This window comes from Homo sapiens, chromosome 12 (assembly GCF_000001405.40).
Source record: "Homo sapiens chromosome 12, GRCh38.p14 Primary Assembly".
Classification (NCBI taxonomy): Eukaryota; Metazoa; Chordata; class Mammalia; order Primates; family Hominidae; genus Homo; species Homo sapiens.
The window spans coordinates 63545072-63568838 of NC_000012.12; the positions used below are offsets into that span (position 1 = coordinate 63545072).

The 23767-nt window shown below is 36.9% G+C and overlaps 1 protein-coding gene and 1 long non-coding RNA gene across 15 annotated transcripts in view, besides 3 other annotated features; both read right to left on the reverse strand.

The window, feature by feature from the left end:
- Positions 1 to 403: 403 nt before the first annotated feature.
- Positions 404 to 6482, reverse strand: LOC105369797 (uncharacterized). The gene is made up of 4 exons (XR_945017.2): positions 6446 to 6482; positions 4213 to 4314; positions 3694 to 3766; positions 404 to 549 (listed from the first exon to the last, which is right to left on the reverse strand). It is a non-coding gene; the product is annotated as an uncharacterized LOC105369797 (long non-coding RNA).
- Positions 6355 to 6709: a mobile genetic element, noted in NCBI's record as "direction; reverse".
- Positions 6510 to 6523: a non allelic homologous recombination region, noted in NCBI's record as "sub-region BP8 recombines with sub-region BP8' within the DPY19L2 LCR2 recombination region 2". NCBI's record gives the evidence for it as "EXISTENCE:nucleotide sequencing assay evidence [ECO:0000219][PMID:22653751]".
- Positions 6577 to 6626: a non allelic homologous recombination region, noted in NCBI's record as "sub-region BP9 recombines with sub-region BP9' within the DPY19L2 LCR2 recombination region 2". NCBI's record gives the evidence for it as "EXISTENCE:nucleotide sequencing assay evidence [ECO:0000219][PMID:22653751]".
- The window catches only part of DPY19L2 (dpy-19 like 2), a 109893-nt gene continuing 99967 nt past the window's right edge, over positions 13842 to 23767 (reverse strand). For 13 of the 14 annotated variants that reach the window (XM_047428722.1, XM_011538215.3, XM_024448947.2 and 10 more), the window contains one exon: positions 13842 to 15591. In XM_047428722.1, coding sequence (XP_047284678.1) covers positions 15441 to 15591 — 151 coding nt within the window. In that variant the 3' untranslated portion in view covers positions 13842 to 15440. Of the gene's footprint in view, positions 15592 to 22528; positions 22629 to 23767 lie in introns of those variants that run through there. The other variant, XM_047428721.1, reaches the window with a different exon arrangement.

Consider the following 23767-nt stretch of genomic DNA (forward strand, 5'->3'; position numbering starts at 1 on the left):
TTGGTTTGGTTTTTGTTTGAGACAGAGTCTCAGTCTGTCATCTAGGCTGAAGTGCAGTGGCACAATCTCGGCTCACTGCAACCTCTGCCTCCCAGGCTCAAGCCATTCTCGTGCCTCAGCCTCCCGAGTAGCGAGATTATAGGTGTGTACCACCACACCCAGCTAATTTTTGTATTTTTAGTAGAGATGGGGTTTCACCATGTTGACCAGGCTGGTTTTGAACTCCTGACCTCAAGTGATCCACCTGCCTCGGCCTCCCAATGTGCTGGGATTACAGGTGTGAGCCACCACGCCCAGCCCCCCTTTGTAATAGAATATCCCACCCCCACCCTTTGTCGTGTAAGGTGGTCATTATGAAAGGAGTATTTCTCCTCACCTCCTTGATTTTGGGGGTTGGCCAACAGGATATGAGCAGAAGTAGCAATGTGCTGATTCTGCACAAAAGCTTTAAGCACAATTGCTTGATTCATCACAGCTTGCTGTTCCCATCTTCTGCCATGATAGAACAGCATGTGCAGTGAGAGGTGGCTCTTTCGACCAAGTCCCAAACTAAGAAGAGAAGACACATAGAGCCAGCCCTCAGTCATCTGCAGCCTGAAGCCACATGTATTGTGAAAATAAATACATTTAGCTTGTTTTTCTGCAGCGTTACCACAGCAAAAACTGACTCAATTACTGGTACCTAGAAGTGAGGTGTTGATGGAACAAAAACCATGTAGGTAGGGGAGGGGGCAAGGAAAGTGTTACAGGAAACAGAAAAATGGCAACTCATTATGTCATGACAAAACATTTGGTAAAATGATCACATATATCATTTTCTTGCCTGAGGTAACCTTTTGTGGTAAGGCTGTCAGGCTATTGCTGCCATTTTTATACGAGTGTGCCCTTTGTGACATCATTTTTAGGGCAACTTGATTTTCTGTCTCTGGAAGTACTATTTCATGAGTATATGCAAAATAGTGATACTATAGTATGTGATTTAGGAACTAGTCTCTCATTTGCATTGGAAGTAGAGATATGATAATCTTCCATCCCATGAAGGCATTTTTAATCCTCACAAAATTCATTGTTGTACCGTATCCTAGAACCAATTCAGTGTAACAGTTAGTTCCATGGATTTGAAGGTACTGAATATATAACTGTCTCTTTAAATTCTCTTTCAGGGTATGTAGTGAATTTTGAGACATTTACTTTTGATTTCTGCCACATGGTAATGTTTCAGAATATCACACTGAGGAACTTGTTAGAACAGTAATATTAGTAAATATAAGATCATAATGGCCTCATATGCCAGCTTTGTCATGCAGTCTCTTATGGAATTTTCAACATTTTGTCTGCTTCCTTGATTTTCTATCTTCAGCATAAGCTTATTTGAAGATAGAGAAGCTGGCAAGTCACAATTATTTTCCTCTGCATGTGATGGGATTTTCTTAATCTAATTTTGTCATGAAATATGATACTGTATGAAGGATTTGTTTCAGTCATTTTCTACAAGAAGTTTGTATTTCTGACCCATAACTTTGCTCTCTATGCTTTCTCAATCATCATCCTTGGTGATTTTGTGAGATTTTAGACACCTTGGATTTATATTTCCTAAATCTTTTCAGAACTGCTTCAGGTCTTCAAATAGTCACATCTTGGCCTGGAATAAAGATATAGATGTAGATACAGAGACAGGTACAAGTATAGACAGGTACAGGTATATAGATGTGTAAATATCTATATACACATCTATTTTTATTTATATAATTTCTATTTATTTCTTTTTTCCTCTTTTAGCCCCATCCCCACCCCCCTTAACCTATCTCCTCATCCCCTACTCTCCTTTTATTCTCAAACTTTGTAAAGTTTACACAGGCTATTTTTGGGTTTTTTTCACCACTCCTCAATCTCACAACCTAGCTCTTATCCACATATCTGTCATGGAAATGGAAACTTATGAGATCCTAATCACAAATCCAATGATCTTTGTTGTATGGAAGGGAGGCATGAAACATTTGATGATTTTGGCCACAGACACTGATACAGAGAATGAGGAATCTGGGGCAAACAAGCTTAAGGGACACGGGGTGGAGGAATGGAAACTCAATGTCAGGCTTAATGACAAAAGGTGAATCCAAGTCAAATCCTACGGTAATAAAAGCAAGAAATAAATGAAGATAAAGTCTAAGTCGAATATTGTTTCAGCTAGCTATTGCTGCATAATATCCAAAAATTTAGTGGCCTAAAATAATAATTTTATTACTTATGACTCTGTGGGTTAGAAATTCCAGCAGGGATCAGTTGAGGTGGTTCTTCTCCACTCCACATGGTGCTGTCTGAGACCCTCAACTAGGGCTGGAGGGTCCAAGATGGTCTTGCTCATCCATCTGGGGCTTTGGTGCTGGCTGTCAACCTGGATCCATTGTTTCCACTCTGCATGGTCTCTCTCTTTACAAAGTCTCTTATTCTCTACAGAGAGCTATCAGGACTGGATGCAGACTGGAGTTTAAGTCTAATGGGTAACTAGATGAGGCTTTAGCAGGTAGAGAGAAGGAAAGGAGGTTGGGTATCTTTTGCCTATCGGAGAGACGTGAGTTGTTGTGGCCAGAGGACACATTGTAGAAAATTGTCTGTAAAGACGGCCACCAACATGCATGTTGCCTTTCCCATCAAGAGGTAGAACCTATCTTTCTTCCCTTTGAATCTGGGCTCACTTGTGACTTGTTTTGGCCAAGAAAATGTAGCAGCAATACTCAGTGCCAGTTTGGGTCTGTCCTTTTAGAGACCTGGCAGCTTCCATTTTCATTGTGTTAGGATCCAGCCAGCATGGAAGCAAGAGTCGTGCTGTTAAATAATGGATTTCCAGGAGACAGAGAGAAAGAGATCCAGCCAGTCCTCAGCCATTCCAGTCACACTTAGCCTAGGTGCCATGTGAGTGAAGCCGTCTTGAATGTCGCAGCCCCAGCTGAGCTCTCAGCTGAATGCAACAGCATGTGTGACCCCAGCTGATACCACATGGAAGGGAGATGAGATATACCCAGTGAACCCCACCTAATTCCTAACCCACAGAATTATGAACAATAAAATTGTTGTTTTAAGCAGCTGTTTTTCGATACTTTGTGACAAAGAATCAAAGTTAGATCAGTCTCTTCTTGGACTCCAGTATCCTTCCTTATAGAATGCAATTTTAACAAGAATCCTGCCAAGTCCATTTAGCCAGAATTCCCCATCCTCAGTATCTGATCACCTTCGATACCTGATCATTTTCCGCCCCCTCCACCGGCACCCAGGTGATGTCTGATCAGCACTGCCTGCCTTTAGCAAGAATCCTGTTAGGTCAGTTCAGCCAGAATCTTCCCTTACCCCTGATGTTTCCAGTTAGTAATTTTCCACCCACTGAGCCCACCCTGCTTCTTCTAGATAGAAATGTCCACCTTTTTGTTGTTTGAGGTTGAGCACAATCTCTCTCCCCTACTGCAGGACCCCACTGTGCCATCCCTTCACCTACCAAGATGTTCTGAAAAATGTCTGCCTTACTGTGCTTCACCGAGTGTCACGAATAATTTTTTTCTTTGACATTTGTTAGGCAACAACAGATAACTTAAACAGATGTTCTCACTCTAGCCAAATGAACTGGAACTCCTGACAGGGCATCAGTTTGGTGAGAAAATAGAGTGCTAAGCAGAGAAAATGATGCAGAAGTTTACTCACATGGGTTTGGAGGGAATTCAAGGAAGGCTGGTAGCAGTCTTAATTTCTTCCACACTGAGGAATTAACTCTCAGCTAGGATGAAGGAAGAAAGATGTCTTTCTAGCGGTTTGAGTCTTTGGTGTGCCCCTGCTTGTGTGCTGTGCTAACTGTGCTGGGATAGTCACTTGTTACACAGTTCTTAGTAAGCAGCAGACAGATTACCATGAAGCTAATGAAGCTAATGTTCAGGTCCCCTCATTTCCACAGCCCCTTTCAAAACTTTGGAAGAGGTTTTAGCAATGTGTTCACCTAAACAGATACATCCTAAAATTCTGCAAAATGTCATGTTGAGTGGCATGGAAGTTACAAGAATTTTGCAGATCCAGTTAAGGGGAAATTAAATTCATCATATATTTAGTTTCTGTTCTAGAGAATATTTGTGTTTGGCAGTCACGGTCTTGTAGAAGCAACCTATTTTTAGTCCTTCAGTGTTGGACTGACCTCCAGGAACACTCCAACCACTCATCATGAAAACTTACCAGGCATTGTAACATGAAGTTGCAGGCCAGAAATAATATCTTGATAGAGGCTTTCCCAAATTTGACAATAATCCTAAAAATGTGTATGACACTACTGATGAGCTGTAAAGCAGAGATAAACGTTTCTAAATGATTAATAAAAAACAAACTTCAATCAGCTATGCTGAATACTAAAATCTTTCTGTTATCTCAATATTTAACTTTTTATATGAAAATACAATCAAAGAACATATAGCCAAAGAAGAAGGAAAAATTATAGAGGTATATTAGGCTCTTAGTTTTCTTAAGATAGCTTGCTACATTCTGTATTTTATTTTTTTTGTGTGTGTAGCTTGTTCTTTCATCACTTTAAATATATTTCCACACAAAATTTTGTTTTCTTTCTCTTAAGGAGTACTACAAAATTATTTAAACTTTAGGTCCATAAAACTTGAATTGATCCCAGTGACATATATTCATTTATTTCATCCCAACTAGCAAGATGCTTTTATTAATGTCTTCATTTTAAAACTGAGAAAACTAAGGGAGGGAGATATTAAGATCACAGAGACAGCCAGTGGTGTAACCTGGATTTAAAGCCAGCAGGTTGGCTTTTGAGCCTGTGTCTTACTCATTCTCCACCCTGCTGCCCTTGAGAATAAATGAAGTCCAGCGCTTTTCCTTAAGGAATGTGCAGTACAATAGCGGACCCTAAAAATTACAGTATATCAAGATATGTGCCAAATTAGTTATACAAGGTACAGAATTAGAAAGGAGAAATTAAATTTCTAGGATAGCAGGGGAGATTTCACAAAGAGATACCTACTTGGTTACATTAAAGTTTAAATTTGAAATTATACTTAAACTCATGTACCTAAAATCACTGGCTCTGGTCACCAGGCAATGATTTCTAGTATTGAACTACTGTATATATTACCTCATCCCAGATTAAGTTGATTGAACAATAGTTTTCAAAAGCACCACAGAGATTCAAAGAATAAACTAAGGCTTTTGACAATGCTTTAACCCTCCCACCATTCCCACAAACATAACAGGAATGATGATAGAAATGAAGAGACCACAATTCAGAGGTCCATGTGCTTATCCAGGATGATACAAATCTGATGCAAAATTAATATAGGACTAGGTTTTGTTAATCCCAATGTAGTTTTCCATTCAGTGTTCTATATGTCCTAACCAAAACTTGGTTTTATAGATAAAAATGATGTTGTAACAGTCTCTCTGGTGGTTTTAGAAGTAGAAACCACGGGCAGGGCATAGTGGCTCACGCCTATAATCCTAGCACTTTGGGAGGCCAAGACTGACTGATCACTTGAGCCCAGGAGTTCAAGACCAGCCCAGGAAACATGACAAAACCCTGTCTCTACAAAAAATAGAAAAATTAGCCGGGCTTTGTGGCACGTGCCTGTAGTTCCACCTATTCAGGAGGCTGAGGTGAGAGGATCACCAGAGCCCAGGAGGTCAAGGCTGCAGTGAGCCGTGATCACACCACTGCACTCCAGCCAGGGTGACAGAGCAAGACTCTGTCTCAAAAAAAAAAAAAAAAAAAAAAAAAAAGAAGAAGAAGAAGAAATAGAAACCTTGCTTTATAGACTAAGGAATTCACCTTAGAATCTCATGCTACAGAAAACAAATCTAGACGTTTTGCTTTAAAATGGACAGAAAATAAACTCCATTTTTCTATAAAAAAAAGTGACAAGTGAAATAGAGTTAATTTGATAAGTAACAATATGATGGGAGAATAAATATAAATAGGATTCATTAGAAACAAATTAAAATTTAATCAACTTTAATGGGCTCCTGTATAGTCCAAGCAGCTTAAGGCACTAGATTATTTCCTATGAAAAGATCTGAGAATAGGCAGTTCAACAAGTTGAAAATTTAATTTTTGAAATAACATTAAGCAAGGACCAAATATCCATGTTAATCAGTAGCATTTAGTTATAACTGGCTCAGTGATCAGACAATAAATTGCTTTGTAATACTAATTTGTTCGTGAGAAGATGACATTAAATTTAAAGTAATTGATGGAAACAAACTGCTAAAAGAAAAATTATGAAAGACTCACAAAAAACAAAGGAGAGAGAGTTCTTCCCCAAAAGAACATTATGGTTTTCTCTCCTGGGGGTTGCCCTTACCTCATGTGTTAGTTTGTTCTCACACTGCTAATAAACATATACCCAAGACTGGGTAATTTATAAAGGAAAGACGTTTAATTGACTCACAGTCTTACCTGCCTGGGAGGCCGCACAATCATGGCAGAAGGCAAAGGAGGAGCAAAAGCACGACTCACGTGACGGCAGGCAAAAGGGCGTGTGCGGCGGAACTCCTGTTTATAAAACCACCAGATCTCGCGAGACTTACTCACTACCATGAGAACAGTATAGGGGAAACCACCCCCGTGATTCAATTATATCCACCTGGCCCCAACCTTGACACGTGGGGATTATTACAATTCAAGGTGAGATTCAGGTGTGGACACAGCCAAACCGTATCATCTCAACTCCACCCAGCCAATCTTACTCATTCTTCAAGTTCCAGTTCCAAAGCTAAGACTAATAATCATTCCCTGATGTCATTCTTCTTTTCTGTGCTCCTTCAGTACTGTTGTCTTTTGTTCTCTTTAATTTTGTTTGCATTTATCACCCTCACAATACTATGTGCCTTTAGTATATAACCGTATGATACAGAGCGGAAAGGAATCCTCAATATCCTTTGGTTTAATGTTTTAGTAGCAGGGTCTAGCTGAGTCCAGGCTGTAAAACAGGATTAGGGTAGAATTAAGGTAGGATTATTTGGCTGGTGGTGCTAGGAACAGAGTGAATTTTTAAAAATTGAACAATTTCAAAATTTTTATTTCTCAGTGATTAGCTTTAAATTTACATTCCTATGCACATGGAGTTATGTCAGGAAACTCTTGTTTGTACCACCTCTTTCTGGCAGCCTTCAGGAAATGAAGTAGCATCAGGGGCAGCATGTTAATCATTGATGCTGAGTGTGGCCTGGGATGAATTTGATTACAGGATTGCTGTGTACCATGTGACATGAGGGGCTCATAACAGGCTTAAAGATGATAAAAATATTTTTTGTTCTCTTAAATATCATAGAAATAACTGGAAACATTAATAGAAATACAGTTGGCTCTCTGTATCCATAGGTTCCACTTCAGTAGATTCAACCAACCATGGATCAAAAATATTTAGGGGGGAAAAACTTCACAAAGTTCCAAAAGGCAAAATTTGAATTTGCCACACACTGAGCACTATGTTGAATCCACATGAATGAGGAGATGGGTCGGCATTATATAAGTAATCTAGAGATTATTTAAAGTATACAGGAGGATGTGTGTGGGTTATTTGCAAATACTACACCACTTTATATAAGAGGCTTGAGCATTTGTGGATTTTGGTATCTGCAGGGGGTCCTGGAACCAGTCTCCCATGAATATAGAGGGACAGCTGTAATTTCTTTATAAATTGATATTGACTACATAAAGAACCTCATTGACTACATATAGAACCTCATTACTCTTTTTTTTTTTTTGAGATGGAGTCTCGCTCTGTCGCCCAGGCTGGAGTGCAGTGGCACGATCTCGGCTCACTGCAACCTCCGCCTCCCAGGTTCACGCCATTCTCCTGCCTCAGCCTCCCAAGCAACTGGGACCACAGGCACCCACCACCACACCTGGCTAATTTTTTGTGTTGGTAGTAGAGATGGGGTTTCACCATGCTAGCCAGGATGGTCTCGATCTCCTTACCTCATGATCTGCCTGCCTCGGCCTCCAAAAGTGCTGGGATTACAGGTGTGAGCCACCATGCACGGCCTACTCATTTTTTTTTTTTAAGAAATCAATTCTTTTTTAATCATTCTATGTTTCCATGGGTTTCTAGGAAAGGATCTCGTTTTTGCTTTGGGTGGGAGGGTCAGGGAGCAAGATTAAAGTTCTGGGGTGAGGTAATAGCCAGACAGAGGAGGGAAACGAGATGGCAATCAACTGCCAGTAGCTGAAAGAGCTGTTTTTGAGCCTTTGTTGGGGGATAGATGCTGAAAGAACTAGTTTTGTGAATGACTTCATCAGTATCTGAGAGTAAGGAGAGCAAGTTTGGTGTTGGGTTAACAAATGTCGAGCAGAACTGGCTGGAGATCATGCCTGATCCTCACTGTACCATGGGCTCAGTGCAGTTTGGGATACTCTGAGGACTCAAGATCAACAATGAATGGCCTTGAAGCCATCATTCTCTGGAAGGGCATTGGCAAAAGAAGTGGTACTAAGGTACCTTGGCAATAAGAAATTGTGGGAAACCAGATCAGACTTGAAGAGAACATTTGAGATGCCTCCCCACTCCACTACCCAGGGATATCGGAAGTAATAGGCTGCAGGGACTGCAGGGTGAGAAATCTGGGTGGAGCAAGGGCTGATAAGAGCCATCAGAATTATGTGGCCTTGTTTGTGCTCTCAGGCCAGCAAGAGCATTTGAGTTATGTTCTCATTTAACAGGTAAGGAAACAGTGATCAAGACCCCAAATGACCTGCTCAGGATTTCACAGAAAGCTAATGACAGAGCTAGGACCAACTCCTCTCCTGATCTCCTGGCTGGAAGAATGTAGTATTAATATGGGGTTGCTGGATCAAATTGAATAATTATTTCCTCTAGTATTGCATATCATATAAATCAATAAGAATAAAGGCCAACAAATGTTTTGTTTTTCTAGCCTGAACAAGAAGAAGCTATTGTTAAATTTGTTAAATTTGCTTGTTAAATTAACATAAAGCTTTATGTTTAAGAGTCAGAAAATTTTAATTAGGATGCCTGACTTTAATTGTGATGCTGATATTTAAATAAATCAACTGGCCAGGTGCAGCAGCTCACACCTGTAATCCCAGCACTTTGGGAGGTCGAGGTGAGTGGATCATTTGAGGTCAGGAGTTCAAGATTAGCTTGGCCAACATGGTGAAATCCCATCTCTACTAATACAAAAATTAGCCTAGCGTGGTGGCATGCACCTGTAGTCCCAGCTACTCAGGAGGCTGAGGCAGGAGAATTGCTTGAACCAGGGAGGTGGAGGTTGCAGTGTGCCGAGATGGCAGCACTGTACTCCAGCCTGGGTGACAGAGCGAGACTCTGTCTCAAAAAGAAAAAGATTAATTAAATTAAATTAATCAACTAGTATTTATCACTCTAATGCCTCACCAACACAATATCATCAAGAAAAAAATAATTTCATTACCTTAATTTTTCTAATGATACCTTTTATCATTTTAAAATAATTTCTAATAAAACTTTTTTAGGAGAATTTTGTTTTACAACTATTGATTTTAATAGTGATAATTTACTGAGTGCTTATTATCCAGGCTCATTGCTAAGTGCTTCAAATGCATTACCGAATTTAATCTTTGCACAACCGCATGAGGTAGGTAATGTTACTTTTTTAAATTCATAGGTAAGAATAAATATTAGAGACTTTAAGTACATGCCTAAGGTCAGTCTCAAATAAGTGACATTGCTCAGTAGACTGGGATCCAGAGCCTAGGCTCTTTACCACTATACACTATAGCTTTACAGACTGCCCTTGGTTTGTTGTTGTTTTGTTTTTTGTTTTGTTTTTTGAGACAGAGTATTGCTTTATCACCCAGGCTGGAGTGAGGGTTGCAATCATGGCTCACTGCAGCCTCAATGTCCCAGGCTCAAGCGATCCTCCCTCCTCAGCCTCCCAAGTAGCTGAGACTACAGGTTCGTGCCACTGTGTCCAGCCAATTTTCAAAAGCTTTTTGTAGAGACAGAGTCTCACTTTGTTGCCCAGGCTGCTCTCGAGCTCTTGGGCTCAAGCAGTCTTCCCACCTCATCCTTCCAAAGTGCTGAGATTACAGCCATGAGCATCGCACCAGGAGTGCCCTTATTTTAAACAGAAAAATATTAAACATTTTTTAAAATGTCAAAGTCATGGTTAAGAATATTTGTTGCTGTTCCAGGCTGTAATTCGATGACTGGGGAGACTGACTGTGTAAATCTCTATGCAAGCACATCATATCGCTTAGAGTCTTGTGCCTTTGTGTTCTTCCATCTGAATTTATAATTTTTCCTTATCCTTTATCACTGTCAACCTGTCAGTTACTCCTTTCACTTTCCACTGTGCCTCCATCTAATATCTTTCCTCAAATTGCCTTCCAGTTTCCCATCCCTTATTTTTTAAGAGTTGGGAAATCAGTTGAAAAACTGGATTAGTTACACATAAGAGAAGAATAAATAGTCTCTGAAAAAGCACCAGTGCACTTTCTTATAAGTTCAATACAGTGACTTTAGTGCTTGGATTGAACAGCATCATTTTCAGCTGCTTGAAAACTTTTATTGACAAATTCCTACCATTGGATTGCACTTCAGAAGATTAGGTGAATTTTACCTAAGAAAAGTACTGTCATATGGACAGAATGCCCTGTACACAGAAGATGAGCCTGGCTGCTAAACACTATGAGAATTCTAGGTTAGAAAGCTGAACTATACAAATACACACTATAGTGTAACTTTAGATTATTTAAATACCTAAAAATAAGGAGAGGTTAAATAAATTATGGCACATCCTCAAAATGGATATCCACATACCCATTTTTGGATATCTATAGCATAAAACAATTTACAAAGCATTAGTTATAACATGAGAAACTATTTTTTTACCAAATGAAGTTTAAAAACAGGATTTTGGCCAGGCGCAGTGGCTCATGCCTGTAATCCCAACACTTTAGGAGGCAGGGGCAGGCGAATCGCCTGAGGTTGGGAGTTGAAGACCAGCCTGACCAACATGGAGAAACTCCGTCTCTACTAAATACTATATACATGTATATATATATACGTATATATATACACGTATATATATACACGTATACACATATATACATATATATACGTATACACATATATATACATGTATATATACATATGTATGTACATATATATACATGTGCATGTACACATATATACATATATACACGTATATACACATGTATACACGTGTATACACGTATATAGATATGCATACATGTATACATATGTATATACATATATACACGTGTATACATATGTATATACATATATACACGTGTATACATATGTATATACATATATACACGTGTATACATATGTATATACATATATACACGTGTATATATGTATACATGTATATACATACATATATACACGTGTATACATATGTATACATGTATATACATACATATATACACGTATATACATATGTAGATACATGTATCTACATATGTATGTACATATATACATGTATCTACATATGTATATACATGTATACATGTATATATACATATACACATATATACATGTGTATATATAAATGCATATATACATGTGTGTGTATATATATGTGTATATATATATATAAAATTAGCTGGGCGTGGTGGCGCATGCCTGTAATCCCAGCTACTGAGGAGGCTGAGGCAGGAGAACCCCTTGAACCCGGAAGGCAGAGGTTGTGGCGAGCCGAGATCACGCCATTGCACTCCAGCCTGGGCAACAACGGTGAAACTCTGTCTCAAAAAATAAATAAACAAACAAACAAACATAGGATTTAAAATAGCGTATGACAATAACAGCTAACCTTCTCTGAACACCTGCTACATGTAGAGCATTTTTGTTGTAAGTCCAACAAACATATGCATACTCAATTGCTTATGGTTTGCACTTATAAACTTCTAAGATGGCTTGTTCACCCTGACACCATGGGAGTCAAAGGCAGGTCCACTAGGTCTAAGACCAAAGAGGTGAGGAAAGCTGTCACAGGGAAAAAAATGGAATGAACAGGAGTAAGTTGTTCCCATAAATCTTCTGTCCTTGAATTAATTTTATTCCCTATCCTATCCCATGCCATTCTCTAATGCCAACTGAGTCCGGGTGCAGTGTGGCTCACGCCTGTAATCCCAGCATTTTGGGAGGCCAAGGTGGGCGGATCACCTGAGGTCAGGAGTTCAAGACCAGCCTGGCCAATGTGGTGAAACCCCATCTCTACTGAAAATACAAAATTAGCTGAACGTGGTGGTGGGCACCTGTAATCCCAGCTACTCAGGAGGCTCAGGCAGGAGAATCGCTTGAACCCAGGAGACAGAGGTTGCAGTGAGCCGAGATTGCGACATTGCACTCCAGCCTGGGTGACAAGAGCGAGACTCTCTCTCAAAAAAAAAAGTCTAATGCCAACCAATACTACTAGGAAAAAGGCTGATTGGACAGTTATGCTAGATGGACCAGGCTGATAATACCTGAACCCACTTGATCAACCTTAACAACACAAAAAGAGAAACAGCTGGCCATTATATGCCTCCTGACCTGTTGCAATCAGAAGTACCGCCTCTGAAGTGCTCTTGTCAAAAATCAAATCTGAATCTGATCTCCACTTTTGTGAGTTTGAAACTGTCTGAAAAAAAAAAAACTTAAGGATATTGGTCAGTTGATAGTAACTATGAGAGGACTCAAAGCAAACCTGCCAGCAACAATACCTGACCTTTGCAGAACTGACAGCAGGAAACAGCTGCCCCCACCATGGGGTGCCTGACATACAGTAAGTGTTTAATGAATATCTTTTGAATACATGGTAGGTACCTAACTAATGGAAGAAGCAGTATTCAAACTTAGATACATCTCATTGCACAGCTCACACTATTTCCATCATAGTATATTGCCTTCTGTGTAAGACTATACAGAATCATTTTTAAATGGCTAAGAAAGAGCACTGCCCGTGTAAACACGGCTAGTAAGCCCAGCAACCTATGATTTCTCCCTTTATATGAGAACAATTTCAATTTCAAAATGTATGCATTGTGAAGGATGAGAAAAGACAGAAAACAGGATCTTCAAGGGCTTTACAGTTACTTAACACAGATAGTACATGAAAATAACATATATATGAAAACATCGTATGTGTATGGAACATTTTATTAGTACAGCTCATCCATTTTTTGTTGAGTTCTACTGACTTTTTAAAATTTATTTTACTTGAAGTTCTGGGATACATGTGCAGAACATGCACGTTTGTTACATAGGTATACATGTGCCATGGTGGTTTGCTGCACCTATCGACCCGTCATTTAGGGTTTAAGTCCTGCATGCATTAGGTATTTGTCCTAATGCTCTCCCTCCCCTTGCCCCCCACCCCCACCCCCCACCAACAGGCCCTGGTGCGTGATGTTCCCCTCTCTGTGTCCACGTGTTCTCATTGTTCAACTCCCACTTATGAGTGAGAACATACGGTGTTTGGTTTTCTGTTCTTGTGTTAGTTTGCTGAGAACGATGGCTTCCAGCTTCATCCACGTCCCTGCAAAGGACATGAACGCATCCTTTTTTATGGCTGCATAGTATTCCATGGTGTGTGTGTGACACATTTTCTTTATCCAGTCTATCATTGATGGGTATTTGGGTTAGTTACAAGTCTTTGCTACTGTAACATCATCTGAAATGTGTTACTTTAATTTTATGAATGTTAGGTGTTATGTCTCTTTTCCTTTTTTGCCCCACACATCACTTAAACAGATTATTTGAAAATGCTAAAATAAGTAAAATGTGTGGCATGCTTTCTTAGATGCTTTGTCTCCTGTACCAAAATAATTTACAAATACAAAAGTTGGAAATAATTTTATTAGTTTTTTAATGCATAAATCCAAACATATATTTGTACTGAATATTTTATTAGCTAATACAGTACCATTTTAAAAGTTCTACCAACTTATTTAAAATATTTCCTGTAAAAACATCATCCAAAATATACTTTGTTAATTTTTATGAATGTTAGGTGTTATGTCTCTTTTCTTTGACGCTCTCCTTTTTTATCCTGTGCTTACACCAAAAACAAATTATTTGAAAATGCTAAAATAAAATGTGGCATGTTTTCTTAGCTGTTTTGTATTCTGTTATAAGATATTTTACAACTATGAAAGTTGAAAAATAACTTTATTGGTTTTGCTGCATATAGCTGCCTGTCTACTATAAGAGAACTAATCCATAAAATTAAGGCATTTTGTTATTTCAAGTGTAGAGGGGCAAGAACATAAGGGAATTATAAAAACCCCAAGATGACTCATTTAAAGTAGATGCACATTAAAATACTATAGATCTGGCATATTTCATATTTATAAAGCAGACAAAAAGAATGTTTATCTTTGCATTTGGCAAGAGTATCTTCAAGATAACTACCACTTTTCAAAGCACTATTGTTGGGTAGGTTTTATTAGGGGAGAGGACTTAGAAAACATGACTTTCCTCACCCAAAACCAAAAATAAATGAGGGCTTAAAAATATATTATTTAAGAAGATAGTGGCCAGAAATAAAGACCATGACCAACAAGCTTTGGGGCCATCAAGATGAAAAGACCTTTCCTTTATTCAAGATCTAGGATCTGAAAATCTCACTTCATAAATTTAACTGGATTTTCTTTTCTGATTATGTTTAACCCCAAAACTTGGTTGTATACCATAGCAGTTTCTGTTTTACCTGGATGTTAAAAGAAAAGCCACTGGAATCTAAAGAGAGATGAATAACCTCTTGAGCTTAGATGGAGAACTAACCAGTGGCAAATATGTATCTAGTGGGGTAAACACATCTCAAGAGATTCAAAACATTACAAAACAAAGTGTTTTTAAAAACACTTCAACTTGAAATTATTAAAAAAAAGTATTAAAAGGTATTAGAGATCTTTCTTAAGGGCTGGTAAAATAAAAACACCTTAAAAGACACACTGTTACAATTTCCTCACAGAGGTAAAGAGGCTGTGACCAGTATCAGCATTTTAAGGATGTCATTTCAGAGCTTGCATTCTTCTGCCTTAAGTGGTTCAAAGAGTTTGAGGAGGTACCCTCTGGTACTAGAGAAAATCTGAAGCAATTCACCTAGTTGGATGAAAAAGGACTTACATACCCCTGATTTATTAAAATTCATTGTTCTTTTATATACATTTCTCTTTAAAATTCTGAAATGAACATTTGTTTATGCAGTATGACATGAATGATTTAATAACTTATATGACAAGCTTAATAAGGCTGACATTCAATGAACAGAAAAGTAATTTACCTTTTAGTAATCAGAAAAATTTCCAATCCATTTTTATCTTATTTTTAAGTGTCTGTTATTAAAGCTTGTGATTTTTATTAATGTGAATAAGCCAAAGGGTGATTGTTTTTGACACACGGCATTGTGCCATAGTAAAATGGGTAGTATCCTTCTCAGTTAACCTTTAATACTCTGTACACACTATTCTGAAATACTGTGGTGAAGTAAGGCCTGGCGTCTTCGAGCAGGACGCTACATAAGGGAGGGTTAGCTGCATTGGAAGGGTCTTCCACATCCCAGATTTCAAGCATACTGCAACCAGGCCTGAAAAAAGACAGACATATATATCCATATTAGAAATGTATTGCTGTCTAGAGACAATAGATACATAACATCTAGATTTTCAGAGACAAATTTATTTCATAAGTTAAATATTTTAAAGCGTCATTTCAAAAAACAATTTCAATGTTTAGAAATTTAAAAAATAGAATGAAATTAAGCATGTTGCATTTTCACATCTCATTTAACCAAGGGAAAGACATATCCTAATAATAAAGCTTCAATATACATTCATAAATATATATGTAAAAGCACACTTTCAAGATGAAACAAACATAAATATACTTTCCAAGTGCCATCACCATCTAAACATAAGGCCCATTTGTAGTAAAATAAGACAAATTAAAACCTAATCGAATTCCTGATGAATTTCACATTTTTTAGCGTAAACTGCCTTGGATTAGCATGAAATGATCCAAGGCAGGGACAGGAGACTCTTACAGCAATTTGTTTTCTTCAATGCTTTCCCATTTTGGGTGGCTCTATGACTGGGCTAAATGAGACACTATTCCTCCCTAGAGAGTAATCCTGCATGGCAGTCATTAAAGGGAAGGAGTCAGACAAAATTGATTTCTAATTTTTTAATATCTATATTGAAGTATAAGTTATATAAACAATAAAACTTCACCTATTTTATGTGTAAAGTTTGCCAGGTATGGGCAAATGTGTATAGATGTGTAAGAACTACCACAATCGTAATACAGAAAATTTCCATCACCCCCACAAGTTCCCTGTGCCCTTTTGCAATCTACCATCTTCCCCAAACATGGCCTCAGGCAACTACTGTGCTTTCTGCACTATAGTTTTGCTTTTTCTAGAATTTCATATAAATATATTATGTAGTCTTTTCATTTTTGGCTTCTTTACCATAGCATGTTTTTGATACTCATATCTGAGCTGTAGTTCCTACAACTTCTGTTGTGGTTCAGTAGTTCCTTCCTTTTTGTTGCTAAATAATATTTCATTGTATATAGAGAACACAATTTGTTTATCCATTTGCAAGTTAATGAACATTTGAGATGTTTTGAGTTTTTGGTGACCATGAACAATGCCACTATAAACATTCATGGACAAGGCTTTTTGTGGACATATGTTATCATTTCTCTTAGGGAAACACCTAGGAGTGGAATTGCTGGGTTGCATGGTTATGTATGATTAAGTGTGGATTTATCTTTATAAGCAAGTTCAAAACTCTTTTCCAGAGTAGATGCGCCATTTTCCATTTCCACCAACAATGCATGAGAGTTTAAGTTGTATCAGTTTTTGTAATTTTAATCATTATAGTATGGTTATGGATGATTCAAAATATCTTCTTTGGTGAAATTTCTATTCAAATATTGTGCCAAATTTTGTGTTGTTTCTTATTGAGGTGTGAGAGTTCTTTGTATATTATGGGTAAAAGTCTGCCAGATTTTTTTAGCAGATGTATTAAGGCGTAATTGCTCAATAATTACTCAATAAGCTGCACATATTTAGTATCCACTTGGATACATATTAACATAGGTATACACTTGTAAAACAGCAGCCACAATAAAAATCATGAACATATCCATCTCTCCCAAAAGTTTACTTCTGCCCTTTTGTAATCCTAATTATTGCATGCTTTCTTTTTTGTCTGGCTTCTTGTCCTCAGTAGAATTATTTTGAGATCCATCCATATTGCTGTATCAATAGTTTATTCATTTTTATTAGTGAGTAATATTTACATTGTTTGGATATTCTAATAGTGTGTTTATACATTCATCTGCTGATAAATAAGTGGATTGTTTCCAGTTTGGGGCTAATACAGAAAATAAAGTGCTATGAACATTTGTGTACAATTACTGGGATGGATATATGCTTTCTTTTATTTTAATAAATACAGTAGTTGTATGTTTAACGTTTTACAAAATTGCTAAACTGTCTTGCAGAGTGGTTGTACCATATTACTTCTGCACCACTGGTGTATGAGAGTTCTAAATCCTCCATAGTGTCAGCAACACTTGGCAGTTTTTTTTTCAATTATAGCTATTTTATTAAGTATTTAGTTACGTCTCACTGTAATTTTCATTTGCATTTCACAAATCACTAGTAACATCAAGCATCTTTTTGTGTGATTATTTGCCATCTGTCCTTTTGTCCTTTTTTTTTTTTTTTCTGAGACAAGGTCTTGCTCTGTCGCCGAGTGGAGTGCAACGGCACAATCTTGGCTCACTGCAACCTCCGTCTCCTAGGTTCAAGTAATTATCCTGCTTCAGCCTCCCGAGTAGCTGGGATTATATGCGCCCACCATCACACCTGGCTAACTTTTTGTATTTTTAGTAGAGATGGGGTTTCGCCATGTTGGCCAGGCTGATCTCGAACTCCTGACCTCAGGTGATCCACCCGCCTCAGCCTCCTCAAATCCTGGGATTACAGGCGTGAGCCAACCACTGCGCCTATTTTGTCCATTTTTAATTGGGTTGTTTTCTTATTATTGGGTTTTGAGAGTTTTTTATACATCTAGAGAAAGTCCTTTATCAGACATAGGCTTTGAAAATATTTTCTCCCAGACTGTGGTTTATCTTTTAATTCTTCCTAACACTGTTTATAAAAAAGCAGAGGTTTACAGTTTTAATGAAGTCCTATTTATCAATGTGTTCTCTTGTGGATCATGATTATGTTACTGTATCTGAGAAATCTTAGCCTAATCCAAGGTTACAATAATTTTCTTCCATATTTTCTTCCAGAAATTTTATATTCTTGGATTCTTAGTAGCAAGTTACCTTCTACTCCTAGTTTGCTGAGGGTTTTTAATCAGTTATGGATACTGAATTGTGTCAAATACTTTTTCCTGAATGTACGAGACTATGATGCGCGATGATGCGGTCTTTCTTTTTCAGTTTGTTACTATGGTGACTTCACTTGATTGGTTTTCAAATAGTGAGACAACTTTGCATTCCTGGGATAAACTCCACTTGTACATTATGTATTGTCTTTCTTTAATATATTGCTAGATTCATTTGTTGCAATTTTACTTAAAAATTTCACATATGTGTTCATGATAAATTTTGATTGGTTGTTTCCTTTTATTGTAATGTTTCTCTCATGTTGGTATCAGGATAATGCTGACCTCACAGAACCAGTTGGGAAGTAATCCCTCCTTTTGAATTTTCTGGAATAGTTTGTAGAATTGGAATTATTTCCAGTGAAGATATCTGTCTTGAAGTTTTCTTTGTGACCATTCTTTTTACTACAAATATAATTTTATTAATAGATACAAGGTCATTCATAATAAGGTAATAGATATAAGATTTTCTATTTCTTAAGTGAGCTTTGATTTTGCATCTTTCAAGGAACTTGTCCATTTTATCTATTTTGTCCTACTTAGTGGAATAAAGTTGTTCCCAAAACTCCCTCATTATGCTTTTCATTTCTTCAGATCCTGTAGTGATAAAATCTTTCTTATTCCTGATACTAGTAATTTCTGTCTTCAATCTTTTAGTTCGGGTAGGAATTTATCAATTTTATTAATCTTCTCAAGAATCAGTGTTTGGTTTTACTGACTTTTCCCTGTTTTAGGAGGAAATACACACTGATTTTGATTCTAATCTTTATGCTTTCTTTTCTTCTCCTTACTTTGGAGTTTACTTATTCTTTTTTTCTAGTTCCTTAAGGTGAAGCTGAGTGACTGATATGAGGCCTTTCTTCTTTTTCTATTATGGGCATTCAACATAAAAACAAATCTCCCTACTGCTGTATCTGCATCCCACAAATAGCGGGATGGTGTTCTCATCTTCCCTTAGGTCAACATACGTTGAAACTAACCCTCCTTTTGTTTCTTCTTGACCATGGATTATCTGGAAGTGTATTACTTAGTTTCTAAACATTTGAGGGAATTTCCATATAGAATTCTGTTACTGATTTCTAATTTAATTTCATTGTAGTCAGAGATTGTATTTTACATGATCTAAAGTATTTTAAATGTGTCAATACTTGCTTTGTGGCCTAGAAAATGGTCTTTTTTGATAAATAGTCTGCGTGTGCTTGAATGTCTATTTTGCTGTTCTAGGGTGGTATGTACTATAAATGTCAATTAGGTCATATTGGTTGATGGCATCATTCAAGTCTTCCATATTCTTGCCAAATTTCTTTTTATTTGTTCTACAAATTATTTAGAGAAGGCCATTAAAATTTCTAACTATACTGTAGATTTGTCTATTTTTCCTAAAGTTCTATCAGTTGTATTTCATATTTTTGAAGCTCTGTTATCTAAGTGCATAAATGTTCAGGGTTGCTACATCCTCTTGAAATATAGATCCCTTCTTCATTTAAAAATCCTTGTTTAACCTTGATAATATTCTTAGCATTCAAATATACTTTGATGTTATTACAGTCACACCAGCTTTCACTGACAAGTAGTAGCATCACATGTCCTTTTCCTATCTGTTAACTTTTAACCTCTTCGTTTCTTTATATTTAAGTAAATTTCTTGAAAGTAGCCTATAGTAGGGTCTTGCTTTGCTGTGCAATCTGACAGTTCTTGCTTTTCATTTGTGGTGTTTAGAGCTATATTCGTTTCCTATTGCTGCTATAACAAATTACCACAAACAGTTGCTTAAAGCAACATATATTTATTCTCTTTCAAAGTTTGGAGCTCGTAAGTCTAAAATCACAGTATTGGCAGGACTCCAATCCTTCAGGAGGCTCTAGAAGAAAATCCACTTCCTTGCTTTTTCCAGCCCTAGAAGCTGGCCTCCTTCCTTGGCTTGTGGCCTTATATCACTCCAACTTCTGCTTCTACCATCACATCGCCTTTTTGATCTCTTACTCGTTTGCCTCCTCCTTATAAAGACTTTGTGATTACATTTGTCCTACCTGGATAATAAGGATAATCTCCACATCTCATGAGCATTAATTTAATCACATTTGCAAATTTCCTTTTTCCATGTGAGTAACGTAATTCACAATTTCTGGGAATTAGGACATGGCCATCGTGGGGGGCTCATTATTCAGCCTACCACAAGTCCATTTACACTTAATGTGATAATTGATATGGTTAGATTTAAGTCTGTCATCTCAGTGTTTTCTTTGTTCCATCTGATCTTCATCTCCCTTTTCCACTTCTTCTGCCTTATTTTGGATTGAGTGATTTTTATAATTCCATGTTAATCTTGTTTGTTGCCTTTTGGGTTCTGTCAATTTTTGCTTCATATATTTTGAAATTCTCTTTTAAGTTCATATGCACTCAAATTATTGTATCTTTCTCCTGTACTGAACTATTTTGCATTATAAAACATAGTCATTTCTAGTAATATTCTTTGTCTTAACATCTATCTTCTCTGATATTCATACATTTTTCACTTCAGCTTTTCTAATGTTTACTCACATGATATCTTTTCCATTCTTTTTCCTTCAGCCAATATACATATCTGTATTTAAAATGCACCTCTTGCAGGCAGTCCATAGATAGGTTTTGCTCTTGTATTCAGTTTGCCAATCTCCACCTTTTGTTTGGAAGAATTTAGTCCTCTTTCACTTTGAAATTACTGATATGGTTTGATATAGGCTTGCTATAGTGCTCTTTTGTTTTTTTAAAAAAACTTTTTATTTCAAGACATTTGGAGATCCACATTAAGTGAGAGATAATACAAGTAGCTCTTGTACAGTCTTTAGACAGTGTCCTCCACCATGGTAACATTTTGAACATTTGTATAATATCACAGCCAGATAATTCACATTGACAGAATGGTGAAAGAGAGCATTTCCATCACCACAGAGATCCCTTGTATAGCCACACATACTATACTCCCCCCACATTCCCACCCCACCCTAACCCCTCGCAACCACAAATCATCCATATCTATAATTTTGTCATTTGAAGACAGTTATACAAATGGAATCATACAGTATGTAACCTTTGGGGATTGTCTTTTCTTCATTCAAACAATTCTCTGGAGATTCATCCAGGATCTTGAGTGTATCAATAGTTTGACCCTATTGCTGAGCAGTATTCCATGGTATGAATAGATCACTATTATTTAATCATTCACCTTGCGAAAAACATCTGGGTTGTTTCAGGTTTAGGCTATTACAAATAAAGCTGCTATAGACATTTTTCTACAGAATTTTGTATGAACACAACTTTCCACCTTTCTGGGAAAAAATGCCCAATACAATTGCTGGGTCTTAGGTTAGTTATATGTTTAGGGTTTTTCCCCTTTTACTTTTACTTGACAAGTAATACTTGTACATATTTATGGAGTATAGAGTGATATTTCAATGCATAATTACAATGTGTAATGATCAAATCAGGGTAATTAGGCTATCCATCACCACAAACGTTTACCATCTGTTTGTGCTGGGAACATTCAAAATCCTCTGTTCTGGCTTTCTTGACATATAACGATAAATTACTGTTAACTAATATTCACTCTACAGTGCCAGAGAGCACTATAATTTATTCCTTCTATTTATCTGTAGTTTTGTATCTCTTAACCAACCTCTCCTTATCTTCTTCTCCTCCCTACCCTTCCCACTCAGCCTCTAATTACCACAATTCTACTCTACTTCTATGAGCTACTTCTTTGAGCTTCCACATGAGTGACAACATGGACTATTCATCTTTCTGTGGCTGACTTATTTCACTTAATGTATCCAGGCTTATCCATATCTAGGCTTGCCATTATGCTCTTTTTTTCCCCACTGTTTTATTTATTTTTTGAGTGGTTTTGATAGGGATGACAACAAGCATCTTTAACATATCATGATTTACTTACCATTTAAATTGGGTTATTTCTAGTAAATCGTACATTTCCACAGTTTACTCAATTTTTGTGCTACATGTATATTTAATTTCTGTCATAAACTAAAAAATATAATGGTATCACCTTTGCCTTAAATAATGTCTTTTAAAGATTTTCAGAGAAGAAAAACGTATAGTGATTAATATCTGCATATTTACCATTTCCAGCACATTTGAGTATTTCTTGTATATCTGAGTTACCATCTGGCATCATTTCTCAGCAGCTGATAGAACTTCTTGTCCATCTTGAAGTATAAACCTGTTACCAACAAATTATCTTAGATTTTGTTGATCTGGAAAATGTATTTTTGGCCTCCATTTTAAAAAGATAGTTTCATTAAATAGAGAATTGTTGATTTTTCTTCTTCAGCACTTTGAATAATCATTCCAGTGTCTGATAATTTCCACTATTTATGTTGGGAAGTCAGATGTTTATATAGCACATCATTTTTTTCTCTTATTTTCAAGATTTTCTCTTAATCTTTGATTTTACCGTTGTGACTATAATGTTCCTTGCTTTGGTTTTCTTTGGGCTTCACTCAGTTGGATTTGTTGAGCTTAGCGGATCTCTAAGTTAGTAGCTTTTATCAAACTTGAGAAATTTTTGGCCAACATTTCTTCAATATTTTTTCGGTAATGTTCTTTTTTTCATTACATCTAATACTAAAATTATGCATGTGTTGAACTACTTAATGTTACATAGGTCTGTGACTTTGGTTATTTTTCAATCTTTTTGGCTCCTGTTCTTTTGATTAACTATTCTCTCTTGATCTATCTTCAAATTCACTGCATTTTCTGTTCAAATGTTCTGTTTTCATCTCAAAATTGTTGTTGAGTACATTTAAATGATTTTCATTTCATTTATTATACTTTTCAGCTCTAGAATTTCCGTGGGGGCTGGAGTGTTTCTATTTCTCTGCTGAGATTCCATAGCTCTTCACTCATGGATACCATGTTTTCTTTTAATTCATTGAATACATTTTTCTTAAGCCTTTGAATGTATTTGTAATAGTGGCTTTGCAGTCTTTGGCTGCTAAATCCAACATCTGGACCTACTTGAATCGGTTTCTATTAACTTATTTTTTTCAGAGTATTGGTCATACTTTCTCATTTTAGTTTGCATCTCTGAAACTTTTTGCACATTGTAAATGATATACTGAAGTGACTGTAGAACCTGTTTTGTTCTTCTGATTGCCAATGTGTCATTCTAGGAGACAATTAATGTGCCTGAATTTCCTGTCATGTGCAGCAGCTAATATCTGTGCTTAGGAGCCTAAACAAAGGCCTCATAAGATCAATTACACACCTTAGAATTTTATGATTTTTAGAGATTCGAAATTCAGAAATTAAAAAATTTTAATTAGGAATGTTTTCCTTATGTCATTTTGGGTTTTGTCA